The sequence below is a fragment of the Homo sapiens genome, chromosome 8, assembly GCF_000001405.40.
Source record: "Homo sapiens chromosome 8, GRCh38.p14 Primary Assembly".
NCBI lineage: Eukaryota > Metazoa > Chordata > Mammalia > Primates > Hominidae > Homo > Homo sapiens.
The window spans coordinates 21,748,881-21,761,452 of NC_000008.11; the positions used below are offsets into that span (position 1 = coordinate 21,748,881).

The window sequence follows — 12,572 nt, forward strand, 5'->3', positions numbered from 1 at the left end:
CCAGGCCCTCTCCCACTTCCACCCTGTGCCATGCTTTTCCAACAGGCTTCTTCCCTGGCTTTCTCCTCCTTGTTTCCCAAGGCTCAGGTCAAGGCCCCCTCCTCCCCTGGACACCCAGGATATGGCAGATGCCCCTCTCCTGTGCTCTCTCCTCTGGGAGCCCACAGCCTCATCCCACTGAATTGGGATTACCACTCCCTTTGTCTGTTTCCCCTGTATTCTCAGGGCTTAGGACCAAGAACTGCACACAACAGAGTCTCAATAAATACTTAGCAAACAAAAAGGACAAATGTGAGAATTATATAGAGCCAAACTTCAACTTAGTATAACCATGCACCACCACCCGCCCCTCCCCCTGCAAAAAAAAAAAAAAACTACCTTCCTAATAATGAGGCTACACTTGGTAAGCACTTACTATATTCCAGGCTCTGCGCTAAGCTTTGGACCTACGTTATGTCATCTAACGTTCACAATAACCCTGTGACGTGGGTATTTTTACTCCTATTTTATAGGTGAAGGGACGGAAGGTCAGGAAAATTTTGTAAACTTGCTCCAGGTTACACAGCTAATGAGTGGTAAAGACAGGATTCAAAGCTAGGACCGTCCGACTCCAGGACCCATTCCTCACCCTGACCCATTCCTCACTCATATGATCATTGAGACTGGATCATATCTCAATACAGAGTGAGCTGGCTCTTCGTTTTATGAGAGCACCTTTCCTGATAGCCACGTGACCTACGTTGGGATATTAGGCAGAAACTTTCTTCAGAAGTGGGACTAAATTGTCTAAAGTCCCTTTTATATATATATAAAGCCAGCTCACTCTGTATTCAGGTCTGATCCAGTCTAGTTTCAGGGTGAGGAATGGGTCCTGGAGTCGGACGGTCCTAGCTTTGAATCCTGTCTTTACCACTCATTAGCTATGTAACCTTGAGCAAGTTTACAAAATTTTCCTGACCTTCCATCCCTTCACCTATAAAATAGGAGTAAAAATACCCACGTCACAGGGTTATTGTGAACGTTAGATGACATAACGTAGGTCCAAAGCTTAGCGCAGAGCCTAGAACATAGTAAGTGCTTACCAACATAGTAGCCTCATTATTAGGAAGGTAGTTTTGGGGGGTATGCATGGTTATACTGAGCTGAAATTTAGCTCTATATAATATATGTAAGTATATATATGTGTATATATGTGTGTGTGTGTGTATACACACACACACACACACACACGCACATATATAGGTAGAGACTGAGTTTTGCTATGTTGCCCAGGATGGTCTCAAACTCCTGGCCTCAAGTGATCCTCCTGCCTCAGCCTCCTGAGTCGCTGGGATTACAGGCATGAGCCACTGCACCCAAAGGTCTCTCATTCCAAGACTCAAGGAGTCTGTGGTTTTAAATTATAAGCTCCTTGGGTTGTTCATTTTGGTTTCCCCAGCTGAGCACAAAGTAAGCAAATGATAAACCTGTTCTGAGTGAATGAATGAACAAATGAATGAATAAAGAAGTAGATGGATGGATGAATGGATGAATGAAATGGAAAATTCATTTTGCACATGTCCAAGTCAGTTTTACCCTTTTTGACACCCTTTCTGCTGGACTCAGGGTCATAATTCGATGCACCCAAGGAATGCAGAGAAAGGAAAACACAGCCTGGCAATGCAAGCGCCCTCCTGCCAGCACCACCGGGGCTGCCGCGGCACTCACCGACACAGGTGGTCAGTCCGGCACACGCCACGCAGGTCCAGGCAGTTGGGCTTCTCCTTGTCCTCATAGGAGCAGCTGGGCAGGATGGTTTGCCGGCGGCGCTCAGCGCACGCCTGGTCTTGGCAGGAGCAGAAGAGCATGCGGTAGGTGTACTCGCTGGGCACCCGGTCGAAGAACTGGCGCAGGGCCTTGTGGCACTTGCGGCGGTTGCAGCGCTCGGTGGGCGAGATCTCGCGGTTGCAGATGGAGATGTAGGAGGAGCGCAGCTTCTTGCAGTTGTCATTCAGGTTGCAGGCCTTGGCAGCATCCAGGCAATGGTTGCTCTTGGCGCTGACCACCGGGTCTGCCCCTGTCCCTGGAGGAGGAACAAGAGAGCAGGTCAGAGGCCACACAAGCATGAGGAGGACACAGCTGCCCCCTCACTGGAAGATGTCTCCCAGTACTCGATATGCTTCCATGTGCCTGCTCTGTGCCTCAGTTTCCCCCTTTGCGAAATGGGGATCACTTCACAGGACCTACCTCCTAAAGCTGTGGTGAGGAGTAAAGGAGTTAATATACAGGTTGAGGGAGCGCTTAGGAAGCAGCTGGTGCAGGGTGAGCTGTACCATGGCAATCTAGGACAATAGTGGACTTAAAATTCATCACAAGCCTAAAAGGCAAGCAACCAGGTGTGTATGGCCCTGTTTACAAATATGGGAAATAAAGTGACTGGCTCAGCGTCATACAACGAGGGGGCCCCCGTGCACCCACCAGCAGGACACTGGCATTTGGGGTCAGACAATGCTCATGATGGGATTGTCAGCAGCCTGGGTGCAGACAGCACACACATGCCCTCCTGAGGAATTCTGGTGAGAGCCAGATGGGAGATCACCTCACCCAACCTTGTTATTTTACAGATAAGGAAACTGAAGCACTGTGTGGGCAAGGGGCCTGCCCAAGGTTGCCCAGCACAGGAACCCGAGTCACACCCAGTAGTGCAGTTATGCCAGCGAGAACCGTTGGTCTAAGCTCCTCATCCATTCTTCACCCACCCTACAAATGCTTTCCAGTATTTCCTGAGCACCACTCTCTCCACACAAGGTCCCGCAAGGTGGTGGGAAGGACTTGGGGTGAGGAGGTAGGCTGAGGTCACACGTCCCTCTCACGTGGGCCAGGTGACTGACTGACCACTTACAGCACACAGTTCCTGGTGTTCTAATCACTTGCCCATTAAAGATTGATCAGGTCCTACCTCTGCACAGCCCTCTGCAGGGTGCCGTGTTAGATATAAAAGCGCAAGAGGAGGGCCCACTCTGGAAGAGCTCACAACTCCAGCCAGAAAACCAAGAGGAGAACAGCACAATAGCCAAGACTGGGCATTCTAGAGCTCAGCCATCGGCGTTCAACTCCTGGCCCTGATACTTACTGGCTCTGTGACCTGGGACAAATGGCTGAACCTCTGCCTCAGTTTCCTTGTCTGCAAACTGGTATCTACCACATAGGGCCTTTGTAAGCATGAATGAGACAGCTCATTTTTTTCTCTCTCCCCTACATCATGATTTTGCTGTCTTCTAGACCATTCCCATCAGCTATTACATCACCCATCTTCAATTAAAAAAAGACCTCCTCGTGACCACACACCCCTCTTAAGCTACCACTCCATTTTTCTGCTCCCCTTGAAAGCAAAACCCCTCAATCGAGTTGTCTACACCACCTGTCCCTTGCTCTCCTCCCATTCTCTCTTAGACCTGCTTCAGCCTGGTGTTTGGCCCCACCTGTCTGATGGATGCTCAGGAATCCACAGGCCTCATCTCCCTCAGCCCATCAGCAGCACTGGACACAGCCAATTCCTCCCTCCTGCCTCCTTCCACTCTCTGCTGGGCTCCCTGCCACCTCCCCACAGTCTCCTCCTCAGCCTGCTTTGCTGGTCCCGTCTTCCATACCCAGGGCTCAGTCTCCTTTTCTCTACATGCACCTGCTCCCTGGGACTCATCTCATGGCCTGAAACACCATCACTGTGCTTCCAACCCCCAGATTTATACCCCCGGACGAGACCTCTGCCCTGAGCCCCAGACTTATCTGTCTACCTGCCAACTCAACACCTCTAGCTGCAAGCCTAATACCCAAATCTCACACTTGACACATCCAAACCCAACCCCGTATTTCCCCCCAAAACCTGGGGCTTCCCTCCACTTATGACAGTCTTCCTCACCCTGCTGGAAACAACTGCATCCTTCCAGTAGCCCATGCCAAAACTCTCGGCGCTTCTTTGACTCTTATTCATACACTGCCAAACCCTGGCAGCTCCACCTTCAAAATACAGCCAGAATCCAGACACTTCTCACCACCGCCACTGCTGCCACCTGGATCTGAGCCACCGACACTGTGCCTGTTAAGAGCCTCCTTCTCCCAGCCTCCTGCTTTGCCCTGTGCCCCCATACCCCACCCCATGACAATCTTCTCTCATCACAGCAGCTGGAGAGAACCTTCTAGAACCTACAGCAGACAGCCATTGCTCCTAGGCTCCAAAGCCCCCCTTGGATTCCCCAGCTCATTCGGGGGCTTCAGCATGACCTACACACCTCTATATGTGTGCTGTCTGATTTGCTGTGACAGAACAATTTGTGCTTTCTGAAATGCTGTCCGCTCACCACACACGGCTGCTGAACCTGAAATGTGGCTGGGTCATTTCACATGTTCACACAAGGCCTTGAAACACACACCAGATTTTGAAAATGTAATAAGAAAAAAATTATGTAGGCTGGACACGGTGGTTCACGCCTGTAATCCCAGCACTTTGGGAGGCCGAGGCAGGCAGATCATCTGAGGTCAGGAGTTCGAGGCCAGACTGGCCAACATGGCAAAACCCCGTCTCTACTAAAAATATAAAAATTAGCTGGGCGTGGTGACATGTGGTGGACTACACCCAGCTACACGGGAGACTGAGGCAGTAGAATCACTTGAATCACTTGAACCCGGGAGGCAGAGGTTGCAGTAAGCCAAGATCACACCATTGCACACCAGAGTGGGCAACAAAGGGAGACTCTGTCTCAAAAAAAAAGAAAAAAAGAAAGAAAAGAAAAAAATAATGTAAAGTATCTCATAAATTTTTACTTTGATTACACATCGAAGGGGTATTTTTGATCTATGATGTTAAACAAATGTAGTAATAAAAATAACTTCACCTGTTTCTTTTTTGTGATTACAAGCAAATGTAGAATTATATATGTGATGCATATTATATTTCCATCAGCCAGCAAGGCTGTATATGGCCTCACCTCCTATTCCTTTCTCCAGGCTCATTTCCCTCCATTCCAGCCACCCCAGCCTCCTGGATCTTCCTGGAACACGCCCATCACGGCGTGGCCACAGGGCCTTTGCACTTACTGTCCCCTTGGCCTGGAAGTCTCTCCCTCCCCACCACAGCCATACAACCACTCTCCTCATCTACTTCAAGACTCTGTTCAAATGTTACCTAATGTGTGAGTCCTTCCTGACCACCCCACACATAGTAACAACACCCCATGCACATTCCATGTACCCCTACTCCGACCTATTTTTCCCACAGCACTCATCACTATCTGCCATGGTATGTACTTACTTCCTCATTTGTTTGTTTGCATCAAATACAAGCTCCAGGAAGACAGGGCTGTGCTCAGTGCTGTGTCCCTAGTACCCTGTGTTTGACAGGCAGGTGCTATGCAATAGGTATTTAAGGGGTGATGGAATAAATGTATTTAGGCCAGTGTCTATTTTACAGTAAGTGCTCAAAAAATGTTGACTAATATTATTAAGCAAGCAAAATGGTACAGAGTAGGCAACAGTGATCAACACAGGACCATGTGGGGCCTAGCCCAGACCTGAAACTTGGGGGATGATCAACGAAGACTAAGCCATTCACCCAACACTTTGTCTGACCAACAATGGTCTTTTTTTTTCTTTTTTTTTTTTTTTTTTTTGAGTCAGAGTTTTGCTCTTGTCGCCCAGGCGGGAGTGCAATGGTGTGATCGCGGCTCACTGCAACCTCTGCCTCCTGGGTTCAAGAGATTCTCCTGCTTCAGCCTCCTGAGTAGCTTGGATTACACGGACCTGCCACTATACCCGGCTAATTTTTGTATTTTTAGAAGAGACAGGGTTTCACCATGTTAGCCAGGCTGGTCTCAAACTCATGACCTCAGGTGATCCGCCCGCCTCGGCCTCCAAAAGTGCTGGGATTACAGGCATGAGTCACTGTGCCTGGCCAACAATAGCCCTTTAAAGGCAGAAAGAGAAAAGTGCCCTCTCTTCTTGTTATAAAAATAAAAGAGGGGAGGGTACATCCAGACAAAAGAATCTTATTCTGTGATAAAAGGAAATGAGCTATCAAATCATGAAAGGACACGGAGAAAACCTACATGAAAGGAGACATGTATCACACCCTATGATTGTAAAGGTATGACACTCTGAAAAAGGGAAAACAGAGACAGTGAGATCAGTGGCTGCCAGGAGTCAGTGGGGAGTGGGGGAGGAAGACGCAGAGCATGGAGCATTTTTAGGGCAATGAAATCACTCTGTATGATACTGTAATGGAGGATGCATGCCATTAGACGTTTGTCCAAACCCACAGAACGTACAACACCAAGAGTGAACTCTAATGTAAACTCTAGGCTTTGCCTCATAATGATGTGTCAATGTAGGTTCAAGAATTTTAACAAATGCATCCCTCTATAGAGGGATGCTGATAGTTGAAGAGGCTGTGCCTGGGGAGGAGTAGCGGGTAGATGGGAACTCTCTGTACCTTCCTCTCAATTTTGCTATGAACCTAAAACCACTCTTAAAAAAATAAGCCTTTTACTACAAAAATGGAGGCTGGGGGAAATTAAGGCAGAAAGAGAATCAAGGTTTGTTTTCCCAATCAATCCATTAATATATCTTTAATGAGGACCTACTATGTGCCAGGCACTTCCCCAGACACTGAGGCTGCAACCCTGCCAGAGACACAGCTAGGGACGGAGGAGCAGCCCATGCCAATGTGAGTTCTGTGTCAGGGAAGTCAGGTGTGGAGAGAAAAGCATCCTGTCCAGACCTTGGTGGGGGCCGGGGGAGGGGTCCTGGAAGCAGTGACATCACTGCTGAAACCTACAGGAGGACTCAGAGGAAGTAAAGACAGCAGAAAAAGGATCCCAGGCACAGAGGGGAGCAGGTGCAATCGCTGGGAGGAACTGCAAGCAATTCAATACGACTGAACATGGAAACCAAGGCAAGGAATGCCAAGACAAGGGCCTTCAGCCATGTTGGGGCATGTGGCCTCTCAGGCAATTCCTTGAGCTGCTACCAAACCATTCTGCCCAGGACAGAAGGATCCCAGGATGCCTGTCAACACAAGGGCTATTGTGGGGACACTGCCTCTAAGGGACAGGTTCTCTCCCAGGCCAGCCGTAGGACGCACCTGTCAGAGGCTGGCTGGCTGCTGGCTGGAGGAGTGGAGCGGCCGGGGGCCAAGGTGAGGAGAGACAACAGGAGGGACCCCAGAGAGGAGGTTAGCAACTGCAAGCGGAACAGCAGCTAATTTAGGGCTGCGGCTGCCCCCAGGTTCCCCAGGTGCTCCGTTCCCACTCCTCTCAGCAGGTTCCTGAGCTAGTGCTGGTGTAATTATAGCCTCCGTGGCTTCCATTTGGAGCTTGAATAGTGAAAGCTTTTGCTAGGGGGCAGAACGTGTAAACTCCTGGGCCAAAACTTGGTAAATTTCCTAGGAAACAAAAAAAATCAAGAAATGCAGCTCCTACCTGGTTACCAGGAAGATACCCCGTGATCCTCCCAGCAGGAACCGGGTTTGAGTGGGCCGGATGACGGGAGAAAAGACCCCAGGAGCGGGCCTGGGCTCTGAGGCTCTGCCAAGCACCTCACCAAGGAGGCAGCCTGCGCTGCGTTTTCATTATGAGGGAGATGGTGGGGTCAGGGCTGGGCACATGGCCAGCCACTGCCATCTGCAGCAGAAAAACTGGACACACATTCCTTCTGAGACAGCCACTGCCCTGCCACCTACCCTAAGGCTCCTGTCCCTCCTGTCAGGAAGGTGAGTTCCCACTGGGAAGAAGAAGGTGGGGGATTCTAAATACAAACCTCACCTACCAAGACCCCTCACAGTCCTTGCCTGGCACTGGGGCTACAGCCCCTGAGCTAAAATGTACAAAGGGCAGGAAATGGGGATTCAGGAAACCCAGCCCCCTCCGTCTCCCTGCCCCGATCCCCTGCACTGAGAGCTGAGACCACACAAGACCTGAGAGATATTCCGGAGCTAGAAATTGATCCCAGTCCTGGGCTGGCCCTGGAGAGCCTGAACTCAACACGTGCTCCAGCGCCAGCCCTGGTGGGTCTCCCAGGCTGGCTGAGAGCAGCCTTGATGGCCAAGGAGTAAATGGTAAACAGCTGCCCAAGGGAGAGGGAGGCGGGATTTAACACTTGGCCTTCTCCAAAACCGCAGTTAAGTCATCCTCCCAACCTCCAGCTCCTGGCCCTAGGGGACACTCTGGCTTCTTCATCTCCTCCCCTCCTACTCCCTGGGTGAGGGCCAGACCCGGGGAGCGCAGCCAGCTGGGGAGCACAGCCAGCAGCAGAGGGGCAGGACAGCTGAGGAATGCACAACCAGAGGCTGCAGCTCAGCCTCCCCAACTGCCCTGCCGCAGCCACACCCAGCCCAGCCTCTCCTGTTAATTCCTGGAGTGCTGCCCTGAGCCAAGAGCCCATCTGCACCACTAGGCTGTGATTCCAGACACTGGAAGCCCCCACCCCCAGCAGGCAGGCATATGAGTGCTCTTTAAACTCATATTCTTTAAATATTTATTTGGCTTTTATATTGAGCTGGGTTTACCAAATTTCAATTCCCTATCTCGTTTTGGTCATATTAACAGTACCACCTCTACTAATGTTTAATTGATTTTTTCTTTAAATTCCTTAATCCTTTTTTTTGAATGGAGTTTCACTCTGTCGCACGTTGTAGTGCAGTGGCATGATCTCGGCTCACTGCAGCCACTGCCTCCCAGGTTCAGGCGATTCTCCTGCCTCAGCCTCCTCAGAGTAGCTGGGATTACAGGCGCCTGCCACCACACTCAGCTAATTATTTTTTGTATTTTTTTTAGTAGAGACGGGGTTTTGCCATGTTGGCCAGATGGTCTCGAACTCCTGGCCTCTGGTGATCCGCCCGCTTTGGCCTCCCAAAGTGCTGGGATTACAGGCATGAGCCACCACACTGGACCTAAATCCCTTAATTCTTAAATAATGAATCTGTTTAACTCCTTATTGACTCACCTTTTACGTTTTTCAATACCTATCTAGATTTATCCTAAATGATAACACCTATGTTGGTTCTGAATTTTTCTAACCCATTAGAATGCAATAAAGATAAAAATACATATTCGTCGGCCCCATCTCCCATTCTAGCAGTGGTGTGCAATGCACTCGGAGGGGGAAGTCACCGGTTTAGAGAAAAGGCACTTGACCTCTGGTGCATTTGTGACTCACAGGCCCCACCGAGTCAGGAGCTCTGCGGCTGGCACCTGGGCATCTGGATTTCACAAGCTCCCTGTGATTCTGAGGCCACCTTCCAAAAACTGAGACCCAAAGCTTAGGGGAGGAGCAGGGCTGCCCTTGGCCCACTCCCCACACACACACACACACACACACCTCACCCAGCACACAATTTAGCAAGCCTGCCCTTCACAGACGGTGGTCTGTGGCCAGCTACTGTCACCTAGGCACGCCCTTCAACTGTTTCATCCCCCTCTGCCACCTCCCAACAGAGAGGATCTTCAAGGTAGACTTTCCAATCGCAAATGTGCCTGTGGGCAGAAAGGAGAGGTTCCCCATCCTGTAAAGCTTCCCAGCCAATGGGGACCCAGGTGTTTTAACCACCCTTCCTGCCTCCCAGGAAACTGCCCCTCATCCCATTTGCAGCTGCAGTGTCCGTCCCTGAGCCCACCCTGGGTCCCTGAACCAAGATGTGGAGTTCTACTACTTAAACAGGGGTTAAAGAACGTGGGTCCTAATTCTGTCTCTGCTTCTCCAAGCTGAAGAAGACCCCAGGTAAATCTCTGTGCCTTTCTCGGTCTCATTTCTTTACCTGAATGATGACGGGTTTTGAACTGCCTAATCCCTTATATTTTGTGCCTCTCTCACTTACCCACCCAACACACCAGTGCAAGACTCTCAGGGATGGAGGGCCAGGGAAAGCCCTGCTGTCTCACCTCATTCCTTTGAGCCGGAGCCACAGGTCCACCGTGGCAGGCTAAAAGGAGCCCACTCTGGTACTGTGCAAACTCAACAGCATGTGTGCACACCGAGGTGCACACACACACACACACGAAGACACCCAACCATACCCACCTCTCCAGGAGCAGAACCGGAGTCCCTGCATTAGTAGCCAGTCAACAAATATTTTCATACACCAACTACATGCCAGGCCCTAAAATCCAGCTGTGTGCAGGAAAGAAAGAATCTTCCCTCTCCTACAGCTTTCACTCTAGTAAGGGAAAGACTGAGAGTAAACACAAAAATACATAAAAAAGGTCGGCCGCAGTGGCTCACACCTGTAGCCCCAGCGCTTTGAGAGGCTGAGGCGGGCAGATCACTGGAGGCCAGGAGTTACAGCCTGGCCAACATGGCAAAACCCCGTCTCTACTAAAAACACAAAAATGAGTTGGGAGTGGTGGCGTGCACCTGTAATCCCAGCTACTAGGGAGGCTGAGGCAGGAGAATGGCTTGAACCCAGGAGGCAGAGGTTGCAGAGAGGCAAGAACGCACCATTGCACTCCAACCTGGGCGACAGAGTGAGGCTCTGGCTCAAAAAAGAAAGAAAGGAAGAGAGAGAGGGAAAGAGGGAAAGAGGGAAAGAGGGAGGGAGAGAGGGAGAGAGGGAGGGAGGGAGGGAGGGAAAGAAGGAAAGAAGGAAGGAAGGAAGGAAGGAAGGAAGGAAGGAAGGAAGGAAGGAAGGAAGGAAGGAGGGAAGGAAGGAAGGAAAGAAATTTAAAGAAAGGAAAATAAGGGAATTTAAAAAAGAATGACCAGCTGGGTGCAGTGCTTCACACCTGTAACCCCAGCATTTTGGGAGGCTGAGGTAGGTGGATCAGTGAAGGCCAGGAGTTCAAGACCAGCCTGGCCAACAGAGTGAAACCCCATCTCTACTAAAAATACAAAAATGAGCCGAGTGTGGTGGCATGTGCCTGTAATCCCAGCTACTCAGGAGGCTGAAGCAGGAGAATCGCTTGAAGCCGGGAGGCAGAGGTTGCTGTGAGTCAGGATCGCACCACTGCACTCCATCCTGGGCAACAGAGCAAGATTGCGTCTCAAAAAAAAAAAAAAAAAAGAATGACCAGCAAATAAGAGAGGGGCCTTTCCGAGGAGGTGACATCAAGTTGAGGTAGAATGACTAAAATGGCGGGCAGGAATGGACCACACACACAAAAACAAAAACAAGGTAAGAGAATTCCAAGCAAAGGAGGAGCAAGCACAAAGGTCCTGAGACAGCTATGAGCTTGGCACGTTCCTAATCAAAAGGAAGGGTAAGGTTGCCAGAGCTTCCTGGAGGAGGCAGAAGTTAGAGGAAGTAGAAGTCAGAGGGACAGTCAGGGGAGACCTTGCGGGGCAGGTAAGAACTTCAGATTTTATTCTAAAATGCAAAGCGCTGGAGAGCATTAAGGAGGAAGGCACATGACCTCATTCACTGACACATGGAACTGAGGGTATATCTGAGGGTTTGAAGCAGAAAAGGAGACCAGTCACAGGCTGCTGAAGCAGCAGAAAGCTAGTGGAGGCTGGGGTGGGGTGGTGACTGCAGAGAGGGCAAAATGTGAACCCATTCTGCATATAATTTAGAGATAAAGCCAAGGATTGCTTGCATTTTGAGTGGGAGGAGAGAGAGAAATCAAGAAAACCTCTTGGATTTTTGGCCTGAGCACCAAGTAGATGGAGATATCATTTCACGAAAAAGGAAAGACTTGGAAGGAAAGAAGAGAGGCAGAATGAAATGGACTATTCTGTTTTTGACTTAAGTTTGAGATGTCTATTAGATGTCGAAGCAGGGATGTTGAATAGGCAGAAGGGTCCACAAGCCTGGAGTTCAAGAAAGAGGTCTGGGCTAAAGACACAAAACTTGGCATGGTTGATACTGGAGGAGGTTGTGGAAAGCCACATAACTCAGTGAGGCGCCACAGGTTGGGGATGAGAACAAAGAAGAGGAAACAAGTCAGGACAGAACTCTGGGTCGCCTTATGTTCAATGGAGGCCAGAAAGGAGAGGACCTTTAGCTGGTGGAAAAATCAAGAGATGCTGATTTCACGGAAGGCAAGAGTTTCGAAAAGGAGGATGGTCAACTGACACCCCCCCAAATACTTAGGGGCATAAGGGTGAGTGGAGGGGCAACTCACAATGAGATGTAGAATAAATAAACTCTCAGCAGGGCTGGAAGGAAGACAGCAAGGGCGGGTAGAGAAAGGGAGGGTCCAGGAGCAGAGACTCCAGGGAGTTGCCCCTAATCCCAGCCCTCCCTGCAGGGTTAAAGCCACCACAACCATCACCTCCACACCTCATGCTGGATGACTGTCATCTCCACACCTCATGCTGGATGTGCATCACCTCCACACTTCACGTTGGATCTCCTCATGGAGCATCCAACCCCAGCCCGCCCTCAAGATCCATTTATTTTTTGCAACAAACACTTACTGACAACCCACTGTGTGTAAAGTAAGGCTGGATTGACGAATAAAACCACCAAGTCACCTGCCATCCTGGGGCTCACATTCTAGCTCAGGTGAGAGATCACAAGTAAACAGATGGAAACTTTCCCCTTTGGGTGTGGAGTCCCAGAAAAAGCAGAGACCCTGGTCCAGCAGTGGCTTGTGGGGAAGACGGAG

The 12,572-nt window shown here is 50.1% G+C and overlaps 1 protein-coding gene across 7 annotated transcripts in view, besides 2 other annotated features; it reads right to left on the bottom strand.

Annotated features, from left to right (window-relative positions):
• The window catches only part of GFRA2 (GDNF family receptor alpha 2), a 121,948-nt gene that overhangs the window by 58,483 nt on the left and 50,893 nt on the right, over positions 1-12,572 (bottom strand). For all 7 annotated transcript variants that reach the window (XM_047421687.1, XM_006716327.4, XM_011544484.3 and 4 more), the window contains one exon: positions 1,708-2,062. In XM_047421687.1, coding sequence (XP_047277643.1) covers positions 1,708-2,062 — 355 coding nt within the window. The remainder of the gene's footprint in view (positions 1-1,707; positions 2,063-12,572) is intronic.
• Positions 95-264: an enhancer, noted in NCBI's record as "experimental_102784 CRE fragment used in MPRA reporter constructs". NCBI's record gives its function as "activates a minimal promoter by MPRAs in K562 erythroleukemia cells, with activity observed for both the introgressed and non-introgressed 8:21606572 variant alleles {active_cell/tissue: K562}" and the evidence as "EXISTENCE:reporter gene assay evidence [ECO:0000049][PMID:34662402]".
• Positions 3,349-3,518: an enhancer, noted in NCBI's record as "experimental_102790 CRE fragment used in MPRA reporter constructs". NCBI's record gives its function as "activates a minimal promoter by MPRAs in K562 erythroleukemia cells, with activity observed for both the introgressed and non-introgressed 8:21609826 variant alleles {active_cell/tissue: K562}" and the evidence as "EXISTENCE:reporter gene assay evidence [ECO:0000049][PMID:34662402]".